Source organism: Homo sapiens, chromosome 16 (genome assembly GCF_000001405.40).
Source record: "Homo sapiens chromosome 16, GRCh38.p14 Primary Assembly".
Taxonomy (NCBI): Eukaryota; Metazoa; Chordata; class Mammalia; order Primates; family Hominidae; genus Homo; species Homo sapiens.
The window spans coordinates 19,539,763-19,564,835 of record NC_000016.10 but is presented as its reverse complement, the minus strand read 5'-3'; the positions used below and the strand labels follow the sequence as shown (position 1 = coordinate 19,564,835).

Sequence of the window (25,073 nt, the reverse complement as noted above, 5' to 3'; positions counted from 1 at the left end):
ACACAGCCAATTAGTGGATGGGGGTACTTAAAACACTAAAAACTTCTGATGAGACTTCTTCAATGACAAGGTAGTTTAGAACAGCACAATATTCCCACCAAAGTTAAAAAGAAACTACATTTAAAAACAAACTTTTTGGCCAGGCGCAGTGGCTCACATCTGTAATCCCAGCAATTTGGGCAGCCTAGGTGGGTGGATCACGTGAGGTCAGGAGTTTGAGACCAGCCTGGCCAACATGGTAAAATACCATCTTTACTAAAAATACAAAAATTCGGTGGGTATGGTGGCGCACGCCTGTAATCCCAGCTACTTGGGAGGCTGACGCAGAAGAATCGCTTGAACCTGGGAGGTGGAGGTCACGGTGAACTGAGATCACACCACTCCACTCCAGCCTGGGCCACAGAGCGAGACTCCATGGCAAACAAAAAACAAAACACAACATTTTAAAAAATCTGTTTGGCCGGATGCAGTGGCTCATGCCTATAATTCCAGCACTTTTGGGAGGCCGAGGCAGGCGGATCACGAGGTCAGGAGATCGAGATCATCCTAGCTAACATGGTGAATCCCCATCTCTATTAAAAATACAAAAAATTAGCCGGGCGTGGTGGCACATGTCTGTAATCCCAGCTACTTGGGAGGCTGAGGCAGGAGAATCGCTTCAACCAGGAGGCGGAGGTTGCAGTAAGCTGAGATCATGCCACTGCACTCCAGCCTGGGGGACAGAGTGAGACTCTGTCTCAAAAAATATATATATATTTGAAGGTATAAACAGCTGCCAGCATACTGGACTTGTTATGCCACACACCAGAACAAAGGGAAACTCACTAAGGTGACTCTAACACTCCTTGCCCAGCTTTCCCGCTGAGGGCATTTGTGAATTCTCAGCACAGGACAAGAGGCTGACGCCAAGCACAGGGCAGCTGTGAGGCAGCAGAGCAGCTAAAAAGGCTCTAAGGAAACCTCACAGAGCTGCACAGATAAACAGGAGTTCAGGGCTATCAAGACAGCCAGGAGGAAGAGGAGAGAGCACAGAGAAGACAGAAATCCAGCCCAGATTTCCCCTCAAGGTATTCGCCCATTGAGCTGCATAGGGCAAGAGAAAGGAGCCACGCAGAAAGGAGATGAAGAGCTCACTGTGTTTTCATTGGTTTCTTGAGGGTTCAAAAAGAGAAAGGATTTGTGAGCTGGAAAATAAAGGGGGAGACTGAAGCATGGAGCAGAAAAAGAACAGGACGACAGGCAGAATTTCAAAGACACAAGCAACGTGAAGAGAAGGCCTAACACACATATAACTGGAATCCCAAAGAGGAGGAGAGAGAGAATGTGCAAGAACAGTCTCTGAAGAGATAATAGGTGAAACTTTTCCAAAACCAAAGAAAGACATCAAGCTACAGACTCAAGAAACATCTGTGGCCCAAGTAGGACAAGTACAAAAGCAAATAAACAAAACACACTTGGAGCCTTCATAGTAAAATTTATAGAAACCAAACAGAATTTTTCCTTTTCTTTTTTTTTTTTTTAAGTTTTTTTGAGAGTTGGCATCTTCCTATGTTGCCCAGGCTGGTCTTAAACTCCTGAGCTCAAGTGATCCTCCTGCCTCAGCCTCCCAAAGTGCCAGGATTACAGGCATGAGCCACCACTCCCAGCCTTCTTTGAGCATTTTAAAGATACGGTCCCTGTGTCTTCTGTGCTCATCTTTGTGCTGCAATAGTAGTCTTATTGTTGCTCCTTTGAAAATAAAGTATCCGTTTTCCTTTTACGAAATTCTCTCTGCTGGGCATGGTGGCTCACGCCTGTAATCCCAGCACTTTGGGAGGTACAGATGGGTGGACTGCTTGAGCCCAGGAGTTTGAAACCAGCCTGAGCAACATGGCGAAACCCCATCTCTACAAAATAAATAAATAAATAAATAAATTTGCTGGGTGTGGTGGTGTGTGCCTGTAGTCCCAGCTATTCTAGAGGCTGAGGTGGGAGGATCGCTTGAATCCAGGGGCTCAAAACTGCAGTGAGCTATAATCGCACCACTGCACTCCAGCCTGGGCAACAGAATGAGTCTCTCTCTCTTAAAAAGAAAAAAAAATCTGAAGGAGAGGAACACAGGAGTGGGGGGAAGGCAGAAAATGTTTTTAAATGATTGTCTTTACATTTCTTAATCTCTATTATGAAGATCTGAGAATTTAATTTCATAGGTTATGGTTTAAAATCTTTTTTAACTCACATATTTAACCAAATTGTTTATGCAATGTGTGTATCCACATATAATTTTAAAAGCTACCATAGTCACAGAACGTCAGGGCCACAAAGTCATAGACAAGTTAACCCATTTGACCCCTTTCTCATCTCCTCCATTGACTCTCCAAGCAGAACATCTCAGCTAGTATGGAAAGTGACAAAGTCTCTCCTTGACCAAACTCTGGGCAGGTTCCTCTGAGTTCTCCCCAGCTAGTGCTCAGCTATTGGATTTCCATGTTTGTGTTTGCACCGCCCAGTTTTAGCAAGAATTCTGTCAAGTTGATTGAGCCAGAATCCCCCTCCATATCCAGCTGCCCTCAATATCTGATCGAATTCTTCTTCTACCCCCACTTGGCTATAAATTCCCACTATTCCTTGTTGCATTAGGAGCTGAGGCCAATCTCTGTCCCCTATTGCAAAACCCCACTATAGTAGCCCCCCGGAATAAAGCCTGTCTCATTTCCTTTAACAAGCACCATGAATAATATTTTTGTTTTGTTTTGTTTTTGTTTGACATAAGAGTCTCACTGGAGTGCAGTGGTGCGATCTCAGCTCACTGCAACCTCTGCATCTCAGGTTTAAGCCATCCTCCTGCCTCAGCCTCTTAAGTAGCTGGGACCACAGGCACACCCCCACGCCCGGCTAATTTTTGTATTTTTTATTAGAAACGGGGTTTCACCATGTTGGCCAAGCTGACCCCGAACTCCTGACCTCAGGTGATCCACCTGCCTCAGTCTCCCAAACTGCTGGGATTAGAAACGTGAGCCACTGAGCCCAGCCAATAGTTTTTCTTTAACAAAAGACATGTGCACTTCTCATTTGTAAAATATCCCATCCCAGTAAAACAGCTTTTCTGGGCACACGGGACAATTCTTGTCCCTCCCAACCCACTTTAGGGAAAGAGGAACCTCAAAGAGCACAGGGACTTTCCCTGGCCTCCAAGTCCCTTAAATTCATCCCCCCACCCCATCTTCTGCTCCCATTTAGATTCCCAACTTCATTAACCTTTGTATGAAATACTAGCACCCCAGATCTAATTGTGCCGTGCAACTAGTCAGCTTTACCCAATATCCTCCATTAACCCAGAAACCCAAGCCAGCACAAACGAATTGAGCTCCCATGTCATTTCATTTCTATCCTTTCTAAATGAACTCGGCTTCAAGTGTAGGAAAGGAGGAGAAAGGCTGGTTGACAATAATGAACCAGTTCTACTTTTATTTTATTTTATTTTTTGAGGCAGAGTCTCACTCTGTCGCCCAGGCTGGAGTGCAGTGGCGCGATCTCCGCTCAGTGCAAGCTCCGCCTCCCAGGTTCATGCCATTCTCCTGCCTCAGCCTCCCTAGTAGCTGGGACTACAGGCGCCCGCCACCACACCCGGCTAATTTTTTTGTATTTTTAGTAGAGATAGGGGTTTCACTGTGTTAGCCAGGATGGTCTCGATCTCCCGACCTCGTGATCTGCCCACCTCGGCCTCCCAAAGTGCTGGGATTACAGGCGTGAGCCACTGCACCTGGCCCCTACTTTTATTTTTTTTAAGGGAAAATCCCTTTCACGATAATTTGCCTAGTCCCTCTGGGGTCATATTTACAAAATATACACTATCTTCATCTTCCAAAAGATTGCAATTGAAATCACCTATGAAATATTCCTCCAAACTCCCATCCCATCAAGGATGCTATCAGGCAATCCTCGATTTATTTAAAAAAAAAAACACAAAGGATAAATTTGAATAAGAGTCATCAACAGTCAAGATGGAGTTTAAAACATCAAAGTACACTTTTCCTCTTTTCAAATCACTTTTTTTTTTTTAGACAGAGTATTGCTTTGTACCCCAGGATGGAGTGCAGTGGCATGATCTCGGCTCACTGCAACCTCCGCCTCCTGGATTCACTCAATTCTCCTGCCTCAGCCTCCCAAGTGACTGGGATTACAGGTGTGTGTCACCACGCCTGGCTAATTTTTGTATTTTTAGTAGAGACGGGCTTTCACCATTTTGGCCAGGCTGGTCTAGAAGTCCTGACCTCAAGTGAACCACCCACCTTGGCCTCCCAAAGTGCTGGGATTATAGGTGTGAGCCACCACGCCCAGCCTCAAATGACTCTTAATTTTATCTGTTGTCAAGAAAAGTAGAATGTTGAAAGGCTCATTTAACAAAATAGAAAATTGAATGTGACAGGAAAGTCTGTTCCAAATGTGTTTTCTGTCCCTATTGGAATTACTAACAATCAACAGCTGAGCAAACGCTAGATCAAAACAGAAATATGACTTCATATGCAACAATCAAATGACTGTTCTCATTTATTATGCACTTACTGTATACCAGGCTCTGGGCCAGCCTTTACCTCCGTTTCCTCATTTAATCAACCCAATAAGGTAGGTACTAAGCCGATTTTTCAGATGAAGAAGCTGAGGCTGTTAGAATGTTGGTAACTTGTCGAAAGTGAGAGCAACAATAGAATCAGATTCAGTAGTTCCATAGATTATCTATAAGTCATGTTGAGAACTTTAAAATTTAAGTCTATTTCCCTTAAAAGAGCCAAGTTTTGGAACGAATTTTATTTTTTTTAAAAAGGGGGATGGTGGTGAAAAATACTGCTTCTGGGCCGGGCGCAGTGGCTCACGCCTGTAATCCCAGCACTTTGGGAGGCCAAGGTGGGGGAAGCCGAGGTGGGTGGGTCACCTGAGGTCAGGAGTTCGAGACCAGCCTGGCCAACACGGCAAAACCCGTTTCTACTAGAAACACAAAAAAATTAGCCAGGCATGGTCACACACACCTGTAATCCCAGATACTCGGGAGGCTGAAGCACGAGAATTGCTTGAACCCGGGAGGTGGAGGTTGCAGTGAGCTGAGATTACGGCAGGCGAGACTGCATCTCAAAAAAAAAAATACTGCTTGTGGAAATAAATCTTAAAAAAAATTTATTTTCCTTTCTGAAAGCCCACAGTAAACCATCATATTTTGATTTTCTACCACTTCTTTGATGATTTCCTCAAATTTGCTCTCTGATCCCTAAGTCTGAGATGTTAAAGCATTTTCTTTAATCTCTGGGTCTTTGGTAAGGCTAACAGCGACCTCTTGTGGGCATTTTCTCAAAAATCATTCCTTTTCTTTTTGCTAACATAGTTGATATAAACTGGTAAAAATTCCCCATAATTCCAACCCCCAGTAATGTAAAGGGCTTGTCTGGATCACTGGCACCTGCCACAGGAAAAAAGGCCACCATTTCACACCTCCACTATTGGCTGGGCTTAGCCCTTGGCTATTCAAAATGTGGTTCACAGATCACCAGCAATGACATCACCTGGGCGGGCTGAAATACCCCAGGCCTACAGAATCAGATCTGCATTTTAACTAAATCCTCAGGTGGTTTATATGCACATTAAAGGTTGACAATGGCCTATTTTTAAATTATTTACCTCTGATAATATGGATACACAGAAATCCCACTATGATTAACCAAATTAATCTCCTTATACTGGAAACACCAAAATCCACTAAATGCTTTGCTCAACTATTTTAATTCTCAAATAAGTTTTTGGTTACTAATCACATAATCGGACCACACAGCTTTTTCTTCCACAATCACAATATTACCCAGCCCCCTTCACCGCTACACATAAAAAAAACTCTTAAAATGATGTAGAGATTCTGACTCCAAGGGTTGTTTTTTTTTTTTTTTTGAGACGGAGTCTCACTGTGTCATCCAGGCTGGAGTGCAGTGGCGCGATCTCAGCTCACTGCAACCTCTGCCTCCTGGGTTCAAGCAATTCTCCTGCCTCAGCCTCTGGACTAGCTGGGACTGCAGGCACCCGTCACCACGCCTGAGGAATTTTTTTTTTTTTCTAGTAGAGACAGGGTTTCACTATGTTGGTCAGGCTGGTCTTGAACTCCGGACATCAAGTGATCCACCCGCCTCAGCCTCCCAAAGTGCTGGGATTAGAGGCATGAACCACCTTGCCCGGTCCAAAGGGTGGTATTTCCAAGTGTGCTATAACCACAGGATTAAACGGAAAATGTGATCTAGGGTATACAGGACATCTCATCTCCTAGCCAGGCCAAAATATAGCAGGGATAGCAAAAACTGTGGGTAAAAAGAGGCATTCCTGGGGAGACCCATGACAAGGCAGTGGGATTTGGGGAACCCCGCAAGCCAGAAACCTCAGCCCAGGATATAGATTTGAAGTCCAGCTGATGAGGATGATTACTATCATAGCCTCTGGCTTCCAAACCTCAGCTATCCCTTGTGGGGCTAATTTAAGTAAACTGCTTCATCTCTCTGCCTCTATTTCTTCCTCCGCAACATGGGGTTGTTATAAGAACCTAATGATGTTACATGTTACGCACTTTACGAGTGATGTCTGACAGAAAATAAGGACTTGATAAATGTAAATTTAATGACAGAAACTCATTTCTCCTCTGCAGTCCTCCTCAGTTTCCTCATTCATTCATAAATATTATTCAGCACTCACCATTATGTTCTAGGCTCCACATACAAAGATGGACAAAACTCAGTCCCTTTAACTTTTTTTTTTTGAGACGGAGTCTCGCTTAGTAGCTCAGGCTGGAGTGCAATGGCACGATCTTGGCTCACTGCAACCTCCGCCTCCTGGGATCAAGTGATTCTCCCGGGATCAAGCGATTCTCCCACTTCAGCCTCCTAAGTAGCTGGGATTACAGGAACCTGCCGTCATGCCTGGCTACTTTTTGTATTTTTGTGGAGACGGGCTTTCACCACGTTGGGCAGGCTGGTCTTGGAACTCCTGACCTCAGGTGGTCCGCCTGCCTCGGCCTCCCAAAGTGCTGGGATTACAGGCATGAGTGACCGCGCCCAGCCAGTCCTTTTAACTTTTAAGGAGCAAGAAGTCTATTAGGGAAACTGAAAGATGAATGCATACTTCAAAAGGAAATGTTCAGAGCACGGGCCGGGTGTGGTAGCTCACGCCTGTAATCCCAGCACTTTGGGAACCCGAGGTCGGCGGATCACTTAAGGTCAGGAGTTCGAGACCAGCCTGGCCAACATGATGAAACACCGTCTCTACTAAAAATACAAAAATTAGCCTGGTGTGGTGGCATCGCCTGTAATCCCAGCTACTCGGGAGAGTGAGGCAAAGAATCACTTGAGCCGGGAGGCGGAGGTTGCGGTGAGCCAAGATCACGCCACTGCAATCAAGCCTGGGCGAGACTCCGTCTCAACAAAAACAACAACAACAAAATATTTAGAGCACGGCCATATTAGGAACTATAGAGACCCTAAATACTAAAAGCGTTATGGCACCTGTTTGCCTGCTTGTAATATAAAATTAAAATTCCAAAGGTAGAAATGTACTGGGATGCAGAGATTAAGACAGCATCTTCCTGGATTTTCTGATTGCAAACTTCAGATAAATCCACTGAAGTCAAATGTTTCTCATGTTTTTGGTTAGCTTTTTGGTCAAGCCAGCATGACTTTTTCATTTTTTATTATTATTTTTTTGAGACAGAGTCTCACTGTTGCCCAGGCTGGAGTGCAGTGGCATGATCTCGGTTCACTCCAGCTTCCGCCTCCCAGGTTCAAGCGACTCTCCTGCCTCACCCTCCCAAGTAGCTGGGATTACAGGTGCGTGCCACCACTAATTTAGCCCAGCTAATTTTTGTATTTTTAGTAGAGATTAGGTTTCGCCATGTTGGCCAGGCTGGTCTCGAACCCCTGACCTCAGGTGATCCGCCAGCCTCGGCCTCCCAAAGTGCTGGGATTACAGGCGTGAGCCACCATACCCAGCCAGCATGACTATTAACTGAAAAAAAAAAAAAAACCTCAGGGTGTGGAAGTGCTCAGAGGCATTCAATGCTGATGTAGCGTGTCAAGGAAGCAGTCTCTTAAGTGTTGGGCAAATGAAAGGAATAAGACAAAATGAAGTGTTTATCAAGCTCAAAAGCAGAAGGTTGTACCTGATTATTTCTAAGGTCTTTCATTTGCTCATTTAATCTAAGCTACTTCACATCATTTGAAGAGAAAGTAAATTATCTCGCTTTCTGAGATGCAGGAGAGATTCCCCGTCCCCAAATCCCACTATCATCAACAACACAACTTCCTCAAGTTCTTCACTCACACACATACCACCTGCTGAACCCTGAAGCTTCAGTCACTCATTCCTAGCTACTCCAACCACAAGGGACCTACGGGCCTGCCAACCAGGCACACGCCACGCCCTCCCTATGGTGGACTCCTATTCATCCTCCAAGACCCAATTTAACTCCTCCTCTCTGAAGCCTTCCCCTAGCCCCCTGGTGGGGATAATCACTCCCTTCTTGGTGCCTCATCCGAATGCCTTCTTTAGACATCCCTCTACTGTGCGTCTGCCCCATTATACTGTCAGCTCCTTGAGGCCAAGGAATAAGTCTGAGGGCTGTGCCTAGGATAGGATGAATGGCGGCCATTTTACAGATGAGAAAAGCAAGTCTCCAGGTGAACAGAGGAGCTGAGGAAACTGACCAACAGCCAGATCTCCCGACTCGTCCAGACTTTAAAAGCTGAGTCCACCATTACCCTCATCCAGCGACCCCAGAACCCGCGCCAACTTCTGGGGACGCGGAAGCCTGGAAACTCAAGTTTTCTTTAGGGAATGAATGGACAGGGGCCCGTGGAAGGCGCAGAGAGGCAGCAGACGGGGAGAGAACCAAGAACCCGCCAGTCTGGCTTCAGATTGCTCCGCTGGACCGCGGTAGCGGCCAGGGATTCTACGGTCAAGACAACTTGGGGGTGGCCGGTCGACCACCAGAACCCGACAGAGAGGAATTCACACTCTCAGACCCAGGCCGACCCCATCACAAGTAAGGACAGCCCCTCTCCAAAGCCCACCCGCCGCTGCTTCCTTACCAAGGAAAGACGGCCATCTTCCCAGTCACATGACCGCTTGTTCTGGGGCCGTCTGCTCGGCTTCCCATCCTTACCCCGCCACTCCCCGCACCCCTCGGCCGCCATGTTTGTGAAGGGCAGCTGGCCGCCCCGCAGCGGCCGCACAGCACCTTCTGCAGACGCCATGCTTGTGAGGGGCAGGCGACGCTCCGCACAGCACAGGCTTCATTTTCAGCTGACGCCATGCTTGTGAGGGGCAGCTCCCCGCTCCGGACAGCCCGGGTTACAACTCCCGCCGGCGCCATGCTTCGGAGGAGCAACGTCGGCCACGGCCAGAGTGCCGTAGTTTCTATGAGTCATGATTGTAAAGGGCAGCTGTCTACAGTGCCGGGTGGTCCCGCCTGCGGGCGTCATGATGGTAAAGGGCATGACTGCTGCTTAGCTCACCTGCGTCCTCTAGGGGCAGAAAGGACTCCAGAAGGCGGCGGAGCGAAGACGCAAACTGAGGTTCAGCCAGTACCTGGTTTTGCGGCTAATACGCTGTTTGGCGTGGGACAGCCATGCCCCCTCTAGGCCGCTGCTTTACCCACTGCTTTGCGGGCGGTTTTAGACACTTGCAGAATGCCCTTCCCACGACTAGCAACCGAGGGCTGCCCTAGATCTAATATGATTGACTACAGCTAATGCACGTGGGGAAATTAGGGTTCGCATTTCGTCCAACTTGGCAAAGCAGTGTTTCTAGGAAGGTGGATATCCATTTCGACCACAGAACGTTTTTAAAAATTATTTTAGGCCGGGAGCGGTGGCTCAGGCCTATGATCCCAGAACTTCGGGAGGCCGAGGTGGGTGGTTCACCTGATGTCAGGAGTTCGGGACCAGCCTGGCCAACATGGTGAAACCCCGTCTCTACTAAAAAATACAAAAACTAGTTGGGTATGGTGGCGGGCGCCTGTAATCCCAGCTACTCGGGAGGCTGAGGCAGGAGAATTGCTCCAACCCGGGAGGATGAGGTTGCAGTGAGCCGAGATTGCGCCATTGCACTCCAGCCTGGGCTACAAGAGCGAAACTCCATCTCAAAAAAAAATTTTTTTTTTAATTATTACTTTTATAACTTACTTAGATATCCATTATGGTCCCTTAGAGAGAAAGCATTCGATGTTTTTATAACTCTTACTTTTCATTCGGGGGTGGTGGTCTGTGGTTGTTCATGAGATGGTGACCTATGACAGGGAAAAGGATCATCTCCAGAACGGGCCCTCCAGTGTTCAGCTCAGTATGAGTAGGAAAGTATATCCACTCGTACCTGCTATTCCCAACACTGGAAGTGAACAAGGGTTAAAGGGTGGCCACGGGAAAGCAAGGAGCTCTTCCCATACAGCCATGCATGTTATCACATGCAACATCTCAATAAGAGGTCAAGGTGAGGAGCCTTTTCCTAGGCTCACACTGCATGATTAGGCAGTAACAAGAGGAGGATTCTTAAAGTTGTGCAAATTAACAGCTTTGATGTGAGCTTCAACCTTCGCATTCTCTTTTCTCCCTCTCCTTCCCTTAGCAGGCTTCTATCTCTTAATAAGTTAAGACATTTCCAGCCTGAGTTTTACCTTCTGAAAAGTCCAACTTTTAGTAGAGACGGGGTTTCACTATGTTGGCCAGGCTGGTCTCAAACTCCTGACCTCAGGTGATCCTCCCGCCTTGGCCTCCCAAAGTGTTGGGATTACAGGCGTGAGCCACTGCACCTGGCCCAGGGGACATATTAAATAATGAGATATATCTTTCATGGAACTTGTAAAGAATGATTATATACAATATTTGTTTTGGCCTAATACTTTTCAATATCTGTTTCTTTTTTCTTTTTTGTTTTGGAGACAAAGTCTCATTCAGGCTGGAGTGCAGTGGTGCGATTATAGCTCACTGCCACCTGTAACTCCTGGGTTCAAGTGATCCTCCTGCCTCAGCCTCCAGCGTACCTAGGACTACAGATGTGAACCACCATGCCTGGCTAATATCGGTTTCTTTTTTGTTTTGTTTTGAGATGGAGTCTTGCTCTGTCACCCAGGCTGCAGTGCAGTGGCACAATCTCGGCTCACTATAGCCTCCCCATCCCAGGCTCAGGCGATTCTCCTGCTTCAGCCTCCCAAGTAGCTGGAACTACAGGCATGCACCACTACGCCCAGCTAATTTTGTATTTTTAGTAGAGACGGGGTTTCACCATGTTAGCCAGGCTGATCTCAAACTCCTGATCTCATGATCCACCCACCTTGGCCTCCCAAAGTGCTAGAATTACAGGCATGAGCCACCATGCCCGGCCTATTTCTTAATAGTCCTTCCCCTGGTAAATAAAAACAATCAAACTAGATTTTCTTTAAGATGAAAAGTTTATTTTGCTTTTTGCCTAGAAGCAAAACTAGTGAAAATAAAAGTATAAAAATAAATACAATTTACATTAATGAACATTCCACTCAAAGTAAAAATAAGCAAAAAAAGTATATAAATAAAAATCCATCAAAAGCACAAACAGTGTCTGGCACCTGTATGAGAAGAAGCTATGAACACCAAAAAAGAATGTGTAAAACACAGGCTTTTATCTTTAAATTAAAAACACTCAAGTTTCTCATCCTTACTCTAAAGCTAGTTTTAACTTTCTCCAAAACTATTTGTTTTAACTAATTTGCATTACACACACAAAAAGTGCACAAAACTTTTAGCATCTTTCTTACTGGAGAGACCCACAATGCTATGAATAAGCTGTATCCTGAGTTTTCAGAATGATAAAGCACAGTTTATCATATTAAGAAGACAATTTGATACTTTGCCTATAAATTTTAAAAAATTGGTAACTTGGACTTTTTTTGACCATCTTCTAATTTTCTGGTTCACTCATTCAATACATGATACATCTCAATAAAGAAAATCAAGTTTACACCCAGGGTGGCTTATTATTTCTGTCTATAGCTGGATGTCAAAGTTAAATTTAAAATGGCACAGAAAATTGGAGAAAACAATCTTCATCTCCATATTCTTAAAAGGATATTAAGAATATATATAGGTTGCATTTTCAAAATACCAGTATCTCTTTAAAATTTAAATTAGATTAAATATACACTGTCTCAATTTTATGTGAAAAGCACAAAGCCCTTTTTGGAAATGGTATGATAAATTAATAGTGACATTCTCCCTCATGAAGTCACGTTATCTTGGTAACATTTGTTGGTTGATACTTTTTTTTTTTTTTTTTTTTGAGACAGTGTCTTGCTCTGTTAACCCGACTGGAGTGCAATGGCACAGTCTCAGCTCACTGCAACCTCTGCCTCCCAGGTTCAAGCAATTCGCCTGTCTCAGCCTCCCAAGTAGCTGGAACTACAGGCATGCACCACCATGCCTAATTTTTGTATTTTCAGTACAGATGGGGTTTCGCCATGTTTGGTCAGGCTGGTCTCAAACTCCTGACCTCAGGTGATCCACCCACCTTGGCCTCACAAAATGCTGGGAGTACAGGCGTGAGCCACCCTGCCTGGCCAGTTGATACTTTTAATGGATATGTTAGTGATGAAAAATCTTAAACATGGGTGTCTTTAAGCAATGCAGAATTTTAACCAGGCAATATTCTTATCCGGAAATCTGGATTTATTATTATATAGCCCTTTATTCTCTCCTAAATCAAGCATGCTAGAAAAAACAGACTATGAAGAACAAAATATACAGACTAAATAGAAAATATAACTGCATGCAACATATTATTATGTTACAGAAATGGATGTAATAATGCATTCCCAAGAGCTACATTCAAGAAGATTGTGCTGTCTTCCCCAAATTTGTTACCTGTCACAGAAAGATCTTATAACCTAGTACAAATGTTTCTAACAGTACTGGGGTAACATACATGAAGCCTAACATTTCTGTCAGACAACTAGTTGTCTGACAGGAATGTATGCTTCTGACCAAAATGGTGACCCACATTAACTTCTGTAGATTTTAGTGGGCCACAATTGGCTACATGGTTATACTGTAAGTCAAAGAAAGTGGACATTGAGTGGTTAATCCAAGTTTTTAAAGTTATAAAATGAGGGAAAGGCATTCTTCTGCAATAATTTCCCTTTGAATCAAATTCAAAAATCACTATGCAGAGATGAATTAAATTTATGTTTTAGAACTTATTTATAATTTGTCTTATCTTTTCAATATTCTGTAAAAGTAAATCCAAATGTCCTTGACATTTACAAAAAGGGTCTCTGTAGACATCTGGGCATATAAAATAAACTTATGTTTGTATAGGTAAGCACAGAGATGATGCAATTACTAAACACTAATTTGTCTTCACCCAAACGTATTATTAAGAGGAAAATAGGGGTGTGGAGCAGGAATTACCAAACTGACCAAATGATCCAGATAAGTGCTCAGCCTTCTGATGTCACTTTGTCTGTGTAAACGGAGTCCAGGGTTAAATAAAGTCTTGGGCAGGGAAAATAACATGAATAATAATCCTTCCCCCCATTTTATCCTAATGAATGTTGTCTTCTTAAATTGTCGCAACATTTGGCCGCTTTCTTTGGATTTTTCCTGCATATACTCCTAAAAATAGAGCAAAACCAGTATTACTTCTCAATGGGAGGTTTTCTATAATGATACCATTTAATGAGTTTTTACTCTGGAACAAACACTGAGCTAGGCAATATACATTATCATATTTAATCCTTATATGAATCATCCTGAGGTAGAAATTGTTATGACCATTTTAAGGATAATAAAACTGAGGCATAGGAGAGCAGTTGCCTAAGGAACAGAGCTAGAAGGAAGAACTCTGATAACCCAAGTCCACCTGATGTGTTATTTTACTTAACCATTTTGCATGACCACCTCCTACTCTGCTTTGATTAGTGGTTTCTGAATTTCACTATATAAACTCTAGTCAAGCACAAAACATCAAATGAAGAAATGTGTTTTAAAACCGTAAGTCAAAGATCACTTACGATAACATCAGAGATTGCAATTTAGGTTTGTAAAACTATAAATAACTAAATGCTTTGCAGCATACTTTAACATTTTAGAATTCTACTTCAGTCTAAGAGTATGATATTCTATCATAAGAAAAGTTAGTTTTCTATAAATTGCTTAACAAAGGATTTGCCTCCATTTAGAGCAAATCAGAACATAATTTCAAATTTGTTTAAAACATAATTCAGACCATTAAAACTCTAAGCAGGAAAGAGTAATCTTTTCAAGAGCGACAGTGAGTTCCTGTGTTCAGATTCATAGTTAGCATTTTAACCAGCCAATATCCCAAACTCTCAGTTTATATAAAAGAATACAATTCTGGCTGGACGCGGTGGCTTACACCTGTAATCCCAGAGCTCTGGGAAGCCGAGGTGGGCGGATCACCTGAGGTCAGGCGTTCGAGACTAGCCTGGCCAATATGGTAAAACCCCATCTCTACTAAAAATACAATAAATTAGCTGGGCATGGTGGCACGCGCCTGTAATTCCAGCTACTTGGGAGGCTCAGGCAGAAGAATGGCTTGAACCCAGGAGGTGGAGATTGCAGTGAGCCAAGATCACACCAATGCACTCCAGCCTGGGCAACAGAACAAGACTCTGTCTCAAAAAAAAAAAAAGAACACAATTATTTAGTTTCTTTCAATTGTCTAAATATGCACTCATGTATAAGTAAATCTTTAGAAAACAACAGCAACAGACTTTTGTACTTGTTTAGATACATATTAATTCAAGGGTTAAGTTCATTTGTATTAATAAGTATGTTGCAATGCAATTTAACCTCAATAGTTCAAAATAATGAACTTCATTGTATGTTACTAACTTCAGTGACTGACTATACATCCTTTATACTGTTGAGTATTGCTGAATAAAAACAGTACTTGCTATTTTGCTTATAAGTTCACAAGTGACAAATAGTGGAGATGAAATGCATGAGAAAAGAACATGGAGAGTAGTCACTGTGGCAAATTGGTATCAGGCAAAACAATACTAATTCCTCAATGATTTTCCAACTTGCTAAGTTTCAGTGCAATATAGAATACTAACATGAGAAAAACAGAAAATGTCTTAAAATTCCACAGGTTTGGTGTTTGGTCTGAGTCCTTTCAAATGGTTATCTTTCAAACTAGCTTATTCTGACTGCCTCTGGAGTAAACAGTATCTTCAGCTATGTAATCCTTTAAGACAATTCCATTAACTGTCACTCACAATGATTTCCAAAGATGATCTTTTAAATTATCCTATATATGTGTGACACTATGAATTACCTTCACTACATACATACAAAAGGTCAGCCATCATTTCAAAGTTACGACCAATAGCTTGTTCCCTCCTAATTTGAAGGAAATCACTTAGTAATAAAGCTCTAAAATTTGCCTAATTGTATATTAATGGAAAGATTAAAATTGATTAAAGGTTTAATCTTCAATGCCTGGTGATTAATTTAGGTTTGTTGTAAATGTCTAGAAAGCAGTATAGTTAAAGCACAACATTTGGAAAGTATTTTTAAATGGATCACATAATTTTTAAGTGAGCTTAATCAAAGTGTCTTAACAAAGATACCTAAAAAATATTAAAGCATTTGGTTAAGAGCTTTGAATTTGCTCAAGAATGAGTTTGTCTTCTTGCCACCATAAACAGAATTTTAAAATACAGTTTTTAGTTTAGCTCTTAATCCTCAAATAATGAACATAAGGAGAGATTTAGCTCAAGCTTTGGACTGAGCAAAATATGAAGCCCTCCTCCCACTGGCATATTCACATGTGATCTTATAGTCTGAGGGAGAAAGTTTATCCCCTTATGTGCAGATACACTTCCCCAAGCTGAACAGACAATGCACAGACTTAGCACCAGAGATGATCGTTATCTTTTATTCATTAAATAAAAAGGTTTTCTGAATTAAGCATGGCAAATTCTACAATTTTTTCAGAATGAAAAATACAAGGTGCTTTCCACAGAAATATTATAGAAATGAAGACTGGAATCACACTTTTACTAAGACTTCCTGACTGCCATACAATGCTAAGACCAAAGAACACTAATAAGATGACTGTGAATATGCCAAAATTATGGTGGCAAGGAAAGACAATCTATTCCACTTCTATGGCCTGAGTTATGGGGCAGCTTGTGCACTTCCTTCTATTGAATGGGCTTCAGGAATTTATTTTCTACAAACCTGAAACAGGCACTCTGTTAGGCACTCTGCTCTGTGAAGGCTTCTGTCTATTTTGCACAACCCCCTTCACTGATGTCTTAGGGGTTCTAATTGAATATAAAAAAATTAATAAGTCACTGGCATTAAGGTCTAAATGTTCAAAATTCAAAGAAAGCAATCACATTGCATCAACTGTCCAAAGCACAAATAAGCTTGAAAAGAACTGAAGTCTCATGCATGCGCACAGTAAGGAAAGCTAAACTCTGGCTTCAGCAGGAGACTATAAGCACGAGTCATACTCTGTTGGAGAATCACTTCGGTGATGCTGAATTTACTATATGGATATTTAAAATACTTTATGAGTAAAATGGTATGAAATGAAAAGTAAAAACATCCCAACTTAAGACAGTAATTAGAATACACAACAGTACACCAAGAGGGTTACATTTGAAGACAAAACTTTAAAATATCTTTCCCAATGCTATAAAGAAAAAAAATCCCATTGAAAAACCATTATCCTTTACATAAAGAACACTAGATTTATTTTTCCCTCTCAAATCTAATCTTGGTTTCCGTAGTTTTCAATACCCGTGTGTGGCATTCTTACCCTTGTCTACTAAGTAGCCTATGAACAGGTGCATTCTGTCCTTGGTTTGGCTGAAGGACTCTGTTGACAAATTAAATGAAAAATTAATTTAATAGGTTAAATTCCATTTTTTCCCATTTTCTTTCAACGGATGAAAGATGATGACTGTAAGGTAAAGGTCAACTATGCAATAATATGGCCTATATATTACCACAAATCAGAGCAAATCGACTAAAGCATATTAATATGATACTTGTATTTTGCTCACTAAGAGTCCAAACCTTAGGTTTTTATCAGCAAAGAAATGTCCAACATATAGACTAACCCTTGTGCTTTTAGATAATTTTCTTATACATATGCTTTACAAAAGCTAACTTTTCCCTTCAAACCAGTGAGAGAAGAAAGTATCACTCTCATTTTACAGGAGTAAAAAACAGGTCAGAAATATTAAAGTTCGCTTTTTAGCTTTATTTTTTATTTATTTATTTTTTTGAGATGGGTCTTACTATGTTACCCATACTGGTTTGAATTTCTGGGCTTAAGCTATCCTCCTGCCTCAGCCTCCCGAGTACCTGGGACCATAGGAGCATGCCACTGTGCCCAGCTTAAGTTAGCTTTTTTTTGAGACGGACCCTTGCTCTGTCGCCCAGGATGGAGTACAGTGGTGCAGTCTCGGCTCACTGCAACCTCCGCCTCCCAGGTTCAAACAATTCTCCTGCCTCAGCCTCCTGAGTAGCTGAGCAGGCACGCGCCATCATACCCGGCTTTTTGTATCTTTTATTTTTGTATTTTTAATAGAGACAGGATTTCACCATCTTGGCCAGGCTGGTCTTGAACTCCTGACCTCGTGATCCACCCACCTCACCCTCCCAGACTGCTAGGATAACAAGCATGAGCCACTGCTCCCAGCCCAGCTTAAATTAGCTTTCTAAGGTTTTTAAATAAGTATCAAAGATCCTCTGGACTGTCTAACTGAACTCAAGACATACCACGCTCAAAATTTCTACCACAGATAGCATGTCCTACAAAAGGTCCGGGCACATCTGGTCTGACATGTGACTAGGTATATGGCCAGGTATTGGTATGAATCTTGAGCCTGAGGACGACCCCCGACCCAATTCAGCAAGAAGTGCTCTACTGATGTCAAGTAGAACAAAGTCAACAAAAATGAAGTTTGGGATTTAAATTTTAATTTTTTAACTTTTTTTTTTTTTTTTTTTGAGATAGAGTTTCACTCTTGTTGCCCAGGCTGGAGTGCAATGGAGCAATCTTGGCTCACTGCAACCTCTGCCTCCCGGGTTCAAGCGATTCTCCTGCCTCAGCCTCTTGAGTAGCTGGGATTACAGGCATGTGCCACCACACCCAGCTAATTTTGTATTTTTAGTAGAGATGGGGTTTTCCATGTTGGTCAGGCTGGTCTCAAACTCCCGACCTCAGGTGATCCATCCGTCTTGGCCTCCCAAAGTTCTGGGATTACAGGCGTGAGCCACCGTGCCCAGCCAATTTTTTTTTTCTATAAAAAACAAAAAGCCTCTCATTAAGACTAAGTGATTTTTCTCACCTTGTTTCAGAAGGATTTTGTTTAACCAGAAATTTCTTATTTGGCATTCCCATTTCAGCAGCTCTAACACAATATAAAAATAAGGACATAATGTATTTAGAGAAGGGAAGAAAACATGCTTACAAATGTAATACAGGATGACAGAAACAAATCATCATTTAGAAGCTGGTGTACTACTGGAAGACCTGTACTAAGCATATTAAAGACTGCATTCAAGAAAGAAGAATTTTTTAAAAAAGTTATTAAGATATTTTTCCCATTAAGTCTTTATTCCCAAGAAACCTTTAGGACATCAGAAAAGGAATATATTTAGGCACTGAATATAAAGATTAACTGTTTTTAAGATTAACCAGCTATCAGTTATATGAGTTGAATGTTGTCAAATTTAGTAAATAAATTCATCTAAGATGAAATGAGATTTTAGCACCTGATTTTAATAAATTTCTTTATATAAAGGGGATTTCTATCAGCTCAACTGCAGAAAAATTAACTCTTTATTTCTAAATTTAAATATGCAAATAGACCAACAGATGACTAAAATTAATTGGTTTGATAACTAACATGACATGATACAAAAAACTTACTTCATGTATTTCTTCCTATCAAGAGACTTCTGTGTTGCAGCTGAAAGAGCCACTCGTGGACTTTTCATTTTATCCTTTAATATACAAAAGTAACGTCAAACTCTACTGGAACCAATTAATACCACTATATTATAATGTATTATAATCCCACATTGCCTGGAAAAGCTTCTCTCTACTAACATTTTTAATTTAGTTAAATCATCTTGTTTTGTATTTTTGAAGCAGTCTAATTCTAAGAATTAAATAATTAGAATTATGTAAATTTTGCTTGCTTTTCCTTTGCCAATCACACTAAGATAACTGATTCAAATCACATACTCTGATATACTTCAAATTAACTTGGAGCCTGTTTTCTAACTCAGATTTCAAAAAAAGCAAAACCCACATTATAATTGAATTCAAGGAAATTCAATCAGGAGCAGCTGATAGATTGTATAAGCCATCTGAGCAAAACATTCAAAGCTTCAACTCTAAAATCCAATAAGAAAACAATATGTAATTCTTAAATGATGTAATTCTTTTAAATCTGTCTACAGATTTAAATGCTGCTAGTAATTCCAGGAATTACTTGTGCTTAAGAATTATCAGAAGAAGGGTGCTGAAGTCAACCAAAACTGACATTTAGTATCAATTACCCTAAACCCAGAAGAACTCTATTCATTAGAAATCATATAACATACCATTTGCCTGAGCATTTTCTCTTTGCGAACTTCTCGATCATGATGTAGAATAGACATTCTTTCAGCTGCATCCATTACAAAGAATATGTCATGAATACCGTACAAGGCAGCTCGCAACTAGGCACAAGAGAAGAAAATATTGTATACATTTAAAAGATGAGGTTAGAGTTCAGGAATACTATATACCATGTACACTTATTTATAGAAAAAGATTAAAATAGTTTTCATTGAAACCTATTTTCAGTGATTAAATAAAAAAGGAGAAATATAATATGTCCATGTCTTAAAAGCCTTCAGGATCCATGTATTTACCTGAGCTAACACTCTTTCCTGAAGTGAAGCATCTTGAGCTGAAACAATGCCTCTCTTTAATGGTGCTTCTGACTGAAAACTTCTTATGAATTCCATAGTATCCTGAAAAAAGAAATGCTCCTTCAAAAACATTTTTCTAGAAAGATTTGTGATCACTGGAGTTTGCTTTTTTCTTTTTCTCAGTCAATCCAAAATTACAGTCTTTCGTCAGTATCTGTGGGGGACTGGTTCCATGAATCCCTCAGATACCAAAATCCAAGGATGCTGGAGTCCCTTATATAAAATAGTTATCTGCATATAACCTAAGCACATCTCCCATATACTTTAAATCATCTCTAGATTAGTTAAAATACCTAATAAATGTACATGCTATGTAAATAGTTGTTATATTGTTTAGGAAATAATGACAAGGAAAAAAAATTTGTACATGTTCAGTACAGACACAACCATCATTTGTTTTTTCTGAATTATTTTTGATCCATGGTTCGTTGAATCCACAGATGTGGAACCCAGAGATAGAGGACCGACTGTACTAAGAACATAAATAAAACTATTACTTATCAGAAGTCAAACCACTCACTTTCAAGCAAGTCAAAAACACACAAACTGCTTCATTTACATGTTATTCATAATATTATCTGAGAAAGATTAACGATTATTGGGGGGACCAGCCCCCAATATTTCAACATAGGTTCTTTCTATTTTTCATAAGTGTCAGCCAGATGAGAAATAAAGAGAAAGAGTACAAAGAGAGGAATTTTACTGCTGGGCGTCCGAGGGGGACATCACATATTGGTAGGACCATGATGCCCACCTGAGCCTTAAAGCCAGCAAGTTTCATTAAGGATTTCAAAAGGGGAGGGGGTGCAAGAACAGGGAGTAGGTCACAAAGATCACATGCTTCAAAGGGCAAAAAGGAGAACAAAGATCACATGCTTCTGAGGAAACAGGACAAGGGCAAAATCAGAACTACTGATAAGGGTCTATGTTCAGCTGTGCACGTATTGTCTTGATAAACATCTTAAAAGGAAACAGGGTTTGAGAGCAGAGAACTGGTCCGACCACAAATTTACCAGGGTGGAATTTCCCAATCCTAGTAAGCCTGAGGGTACTGCAGGAGACCAGGGCATATTTTAGTCCTTATCTCAACCGCATAAGACAGATACTCCCAGAGTGGCCGTTTATATACCTCCCCCCAGGGATGCATTCCTTCCCCAGGGTATTAATTATTAATATTCCTTGCTAGGAAAAGAATTTAGCAATATCTTCCCTACTTGCACGTCCGTTTATAGGCTCTCTGCAAGACGAAAAATATGGCTCTATTTTGCCCGACCTCGCAGGCAGTCAGTTATGGTTGTCTTCCCTTGTTCCCTGAAAAACGCTGTTATTCTGTTCTTTTTCAAGTTGCACTGATTTCCTATTGTTCAAACACACATGTTTTGCAATCAATTTGTAGAGTTAACACAATAGTGGTCCTGAGGTGACCTACATCCTCAGCTTATGAAGATAACAGGATTAAGAGATTAAAGACAGGCATAAGAAATTATAAAAGTATTAATTTTGGGAACTGATAAATGTCCATATTAAAATGAAATCTTCACAATTTATGTTCAGCAATTGAAGTAAAGACAGGAGTAAGAAATTATAAAAGTGTTATTTGGGAACTGATATATGTCCATATTAAAATGAAATCTTCACAATTTATATTCCTTTGCTGCGGCTCCAGCTGGTCCCTCCATTCGGGGTCCCTGACTTCCCGCAACAAACAATCAGACTTCTAAAACTGCCTAGATTACAGTGACTAAAAAGCGTTTAAGTTCTGAACTAATCTGTTAGCTCAGCTGTCACAAGACTGATAGAAACTAAGACAGAAGTGAAATACAAACGATTTACAGGAATCTTACTTTTACAGTTTGTCGAAGTTGCTTCAGCTTATCTGTCTGCATAAGTCTACGAGTAAGAAATCCTTTTGCCACTGCAGTTATTTTGTTAAATTTTGCTTGTATTTCCAGACTAAAAACCTAGGAGAAAGAAGACAGACACAATGTTTATTGGTGTTCATTTATACAGTCTAAGATAATATAGCTCTTAAGAAAAGATAAATAGATAGATGGACATGTATCATTAAGTTTACCCACTTGAGACCATCTAGTTTTGGCTCTTCCAAAAGGCCTTGTTACTGAGAGTTTGGTCAAGCCACTAGTTGATGATCCCCAGAGGTAGAATGGTGCTTCGTTTGCAGAAACAAAGCTATATTGCATGGCAGAATTTGTGAAACCTAGAGAAACATACATATAGTATTATACTTGATGTCATATAATTAGAATACGAAGAACATCCCAATAAACACTTGTGACACTCATTAAGAATAACAACTGCCTCCAAAAATGACCTACCTGCCGACTTAAAATATTTATGGACTTTAAAGCTTACATACCAGGTGGATCTTTTCAACACAAACAGCATCTCAGGATAATTGAGATATGAAGATAAGCTATTTAAAGGGACTAGGGAATTAGAGGTAATTCAAGATCACTCAGGAGAGAGCAAACTGTTTTCACTTGAAGTATATCACCTGCTGCATGAATGATCAGACTGGGCTCTAAGCCAAATTTCCTGATCTTTTCCTGGCAAAGGTAATCTTTGTTCACAAACATCTGCTCACAAGTCTTTGATCTCCTATCATGTCATTTTTCACTGGTTACTAAGCAGCTGGCAAAGAGGGTTGGACATGGAATCATTTGAAAACAGGAGATATAATCTTATAGTGTGCCAAATAAATATCTTACCGTAGGATCACTTTCCCAAATGTAAAAGGATTTTTAAATATTTACCAGAACTATTTGAATTTGAAGTATGGAGTGAGTCCGCTTGAGACAGCATTGTTTCCAGCAAACTAGAGTCACTTATTTTTCTCCATTCTAATTCCACTGCATTGTTAATGTCCAACTCAGAGGCTTCCGCTGTCATTGCCTTCTTCTCTTTTAACATTTTCTCCTGCTCTTCTATTTCCTATACATGAACAGTTTATTGTAACATGCTAAACCTTTTAATTATGTCCCAAAATGATATCATTTTAGGCTTAGCCAAAAGTACATGTAATTATCAGCAATTATTATTTATTTCAAGTTTTTCTTCCTCAAATTATCCTTCCTTCCTTCTCCCTTCCCTTCCCTTCCCTCCCTCCCTCTTTTCTTTTCTTTCCTTCCTTCCTTTCTCTCTCTCTCTCTCTCTCTCTCTCTCTCTCTCCTCTCTCTCTCTTTCTTGTTTCAAGAAACAGAATCTCGCTCTGTCCCCCAGGCTGGAGTGCAGTGGCACGATCTCGGTTCACTGCAATCTCCACCTTGCGGGTTCAAGTGATTCTCCTGCCTCAGTTTCCCAAGTAGCTGGGACTACAGGTCCATACACCACCATTTTGTATTTTTTAGTAGAGATGGGATTTCACTATATGTTGGCCAGGCTGGTCTCAAACTCCTGACCTCAGGTGATCCATCCACCTCGGCCTCCCAAAGTGCTGGGATTACAGGCGTGAGCCACCACGCCCAGGCTATAATTTAATATGTGATAATGTATAGTTAAATTATTAATTATAATAATATTATAACAAGTGTCGTTCTTTTTTTTTTTCTTTTTATAGAGACAGGGTCTCCCTCTGTTGCCCAGGCTGGAGTGCAGTGGCTAGACAAAGGCGAAATCATAGCTCACTGCAGCCTTGAATTTCTGGGCTCAAGCAATCCTCCCACCTCAGCCTCCTGCATAGCTGGGACTACAGGCTCATGATACCACGCCCAGCATGAGTGTCATTTTTATGATACAACTCCTGCAGAATGTGTACTTTAGCACCTATTTATAAAATACCTTTTTAAAATATTAAGCTTTAAATCAAGGATTCAATAAAATATTCTCGATAAATTATGCAATTACTTTTAGATAAGGATCTAAATATCAAAATTCATATTTTGACAAAAAATACCATTCACGTATCAAAATGACTCCCTTACCTTAAGATATATGGAGGCAAAAATTACACGTATTCTATACATGACCAAAATTCATAGGTATCCTTGGCTAAATTTCACTTACCAGTTGTATCTCCCTCCACATTCCTCACCTTTTGCAGTCTTTCTTGTTCCCTTTCCTGCTCAGCTATGAGTAGTGATAATTGCTGGGCGTGCTGTTCTTCTAGTCTCTTCCGCATTTCTTCAAAAGCTAACATCTTGCTTTTTAGTAACTCCTCGCTTTCTGAAAAGAAACATGTTTCCTCAATTTAGAAAATTCACAAGTCTAATGTCTGATATTTTATACCATCAATTTAAATTATCCTTCTGACAAGAGAGTATTCCTGGATCTGACATAATACAATCAAGATATAGCTGGGTCTCTACTTCGAACCACACTCCTTTTATTTCATGCTACTCAATAAAGTAAGACCTGTATTGCATCACCTTTACCCACTCATTCAACAGATCCCATCCTGATCTGAAATGACAGACCCAGGACTATATATTCAGACAAGATTCTCCTGACTCTACTTAACTTTCAGATGTGGTCCTCAACTGCATCCTACCATCATTTGTTTTTTTGACACTTGTCCTCCAGGATCTCTGGTAGTGTAGCTTGTAGTTTTGCCTTGTTTTGATTTTCAAAGAAAGTGTTTCCTTGATGGTATAAAGCTTTCTCAGCTTGAGGTTTCAAAAAGGACTGGACGTTAAAATTCCAGATATTTAGTTACTAACTAAGAGAAAACATTATGACAATACAAGCTTCCTAAATAGAATGTGGTAAGACATGTTGAAATGTACAAATACCAAGTATGGGCCAGGTGTGGTGGCTCACGTCTGTAATCCCAGTACTTTGGGAGGCCAAGGCAGGTGGATCACTTGAGGTCAGGAGTTCGAGACCAGCATGACCAACATGGTGAAACCGAATCTCTACTGAAAAAATACAAGCGCATGCCTGTAATCTCAGCTACTTGGGAGGCTGAAGCAGGAGAATCGCTTGAACCTGGGAGGCGGAGGTTGCAGTGAGCTGAGATCGCACCATTGCACTCCAGCCTGGGCAACAAGAGTGAAACTCCATCTCAAAAAAAAAAAAAAGAAATTTCCACTCTGTTGGTCTTATGTACTTCTGATATTC

General features: G+C 41.0%; 2 protein-coding genes across 19 annotated transcripts in view, besides 4 other annotated features; both read right to left on the bottom strand.

Moving 5' to 3' along the window:
• The window catches only part of VPS35L (VPS35 endosomal protein sorting factor like), a 145,461-nt gene extending 136,328 nt beyond the window's left edge, over positions 1-9,133 (bottom strand). For all 7 annotated transcript variants that reach the window (NR_158161.2, NR_158160.2, NM_001365295.2 and 4 more), the window contains exon 1: positions 9,090-9,133. Coding sequence is in view for 4 of the 7 variants with exons in the window: in NM_020314.7 (NP_064710.5) it covers positions 9,090-9,106 (17 nt within the window). In the remaining 3 variants the exon portion in view is untranslated. The remainder of the gene's footprint in view (positions 1-9,089) is intronic.
• Positions 8,449-8,678: an enhancer, noted in NCBI's record as "active region_10533". NCBI's record gives its function as "activates an Ori minimal core promoter by ATAC-STARR-seq in GM12878 lymphoblastoid cells {active_cell/tissue: GM12878}" and the evidence as "EXISTENCE:reporter gene assay evidence [ECO:0000049][PMID:35858748]".
• Positions 8,449-9,538: a biological region, named in NCBI's record as "NANOG-H3K27ac-H3K4me1 hESC enhancer GRCh37_chr16:19566659-19567621".
• Positions 8,537-9,499: an enhancer, noted in NCBI's record as "NANOG-H3K27ac-H3K4me1 hESC enhancer chr16:19566659-19567621 (GRCh37/hg19 assembly coordinates)". NCBI's record gives its function as "activates a minimal SCP1, AML or CMV promoter by ChIP-STARR-seq in primed H9 embryonic stem cells {active_cell/tissue: H9 hESC(primed)}" and the evidence as "EXISTENCE:reporter gene assay evidence [ECO:0000049][PMID:30033119]".
• Positions 9,059-9,538: an enhancer, noted in NCBI's record as "active region_10532". NCBI's record gives its function as "activates an Ori minimal core promoter by ATAC-STARR-seq in GM12878 lymphoblastoid cells {active_cell/tissue: GM12878}" and the evidence as "EXISTENCE:reporter gene assay evidence [ECO:0000049][PMID:35858748]".
• CCP110 (centriolar coiled-coil protein 110) overlaps positions 11,428-25,073 on the bottom strand; it is a 29,467-nt gene continuing 15,821 nt past the window's right edge. For 5 of the 12 annotated variants that reach the window (XM_017023908.2, XM_011545991.3, XM_011545992.3 and 2 more), the window contains 11 exons: positions 24,049-24,179; positions 22,772-22,949; positions 22,076-22,215; positions 21,842-21,958; positions 19,938-20,039; positions 19,626-19,742; positions 18,946-19,019; positions 18,362-18,424; positions 16,822-16,881; positions 16,236-16,321; positions 11,428-13,640 (listed from right to left, as the gene is read on the bottom strand). In XM_017023908.2, the coding sequence (XP_016879397.1) occupies positions 13,588-13,640; positions 16,236-16,321; positions 16,822-16,881; positions 18,362-18,424; positions 18,946-19,019; positions 19,626-19,742; positions 19,938-20,039; positions 21,842-21,958; positions 22,076-22,215; positions 22,772-22,949; positions 24,049-24,179 (1,121 nt within the window). In that variant the 3' untranslated portion in view covers positions 11,428-13,587. The remainder of the gene's footprint in view (positions 13,641-16,235; positions 16,322-16,821; positions 16,882-18,361; positions 18,425-18,945; positions 19,020-19,625; positions 19,743-19,937; positions 20,040-21,841; positions 21,959-22,075; positions 22,216-22,771; positions 22,950-24,048; positions 24,180-25,073) is intronic. The other 7 variants (NM_001323570.2, NM_001323571.2, NM_014711.6 and 4 more) reach the window with 2 other exon arrangements.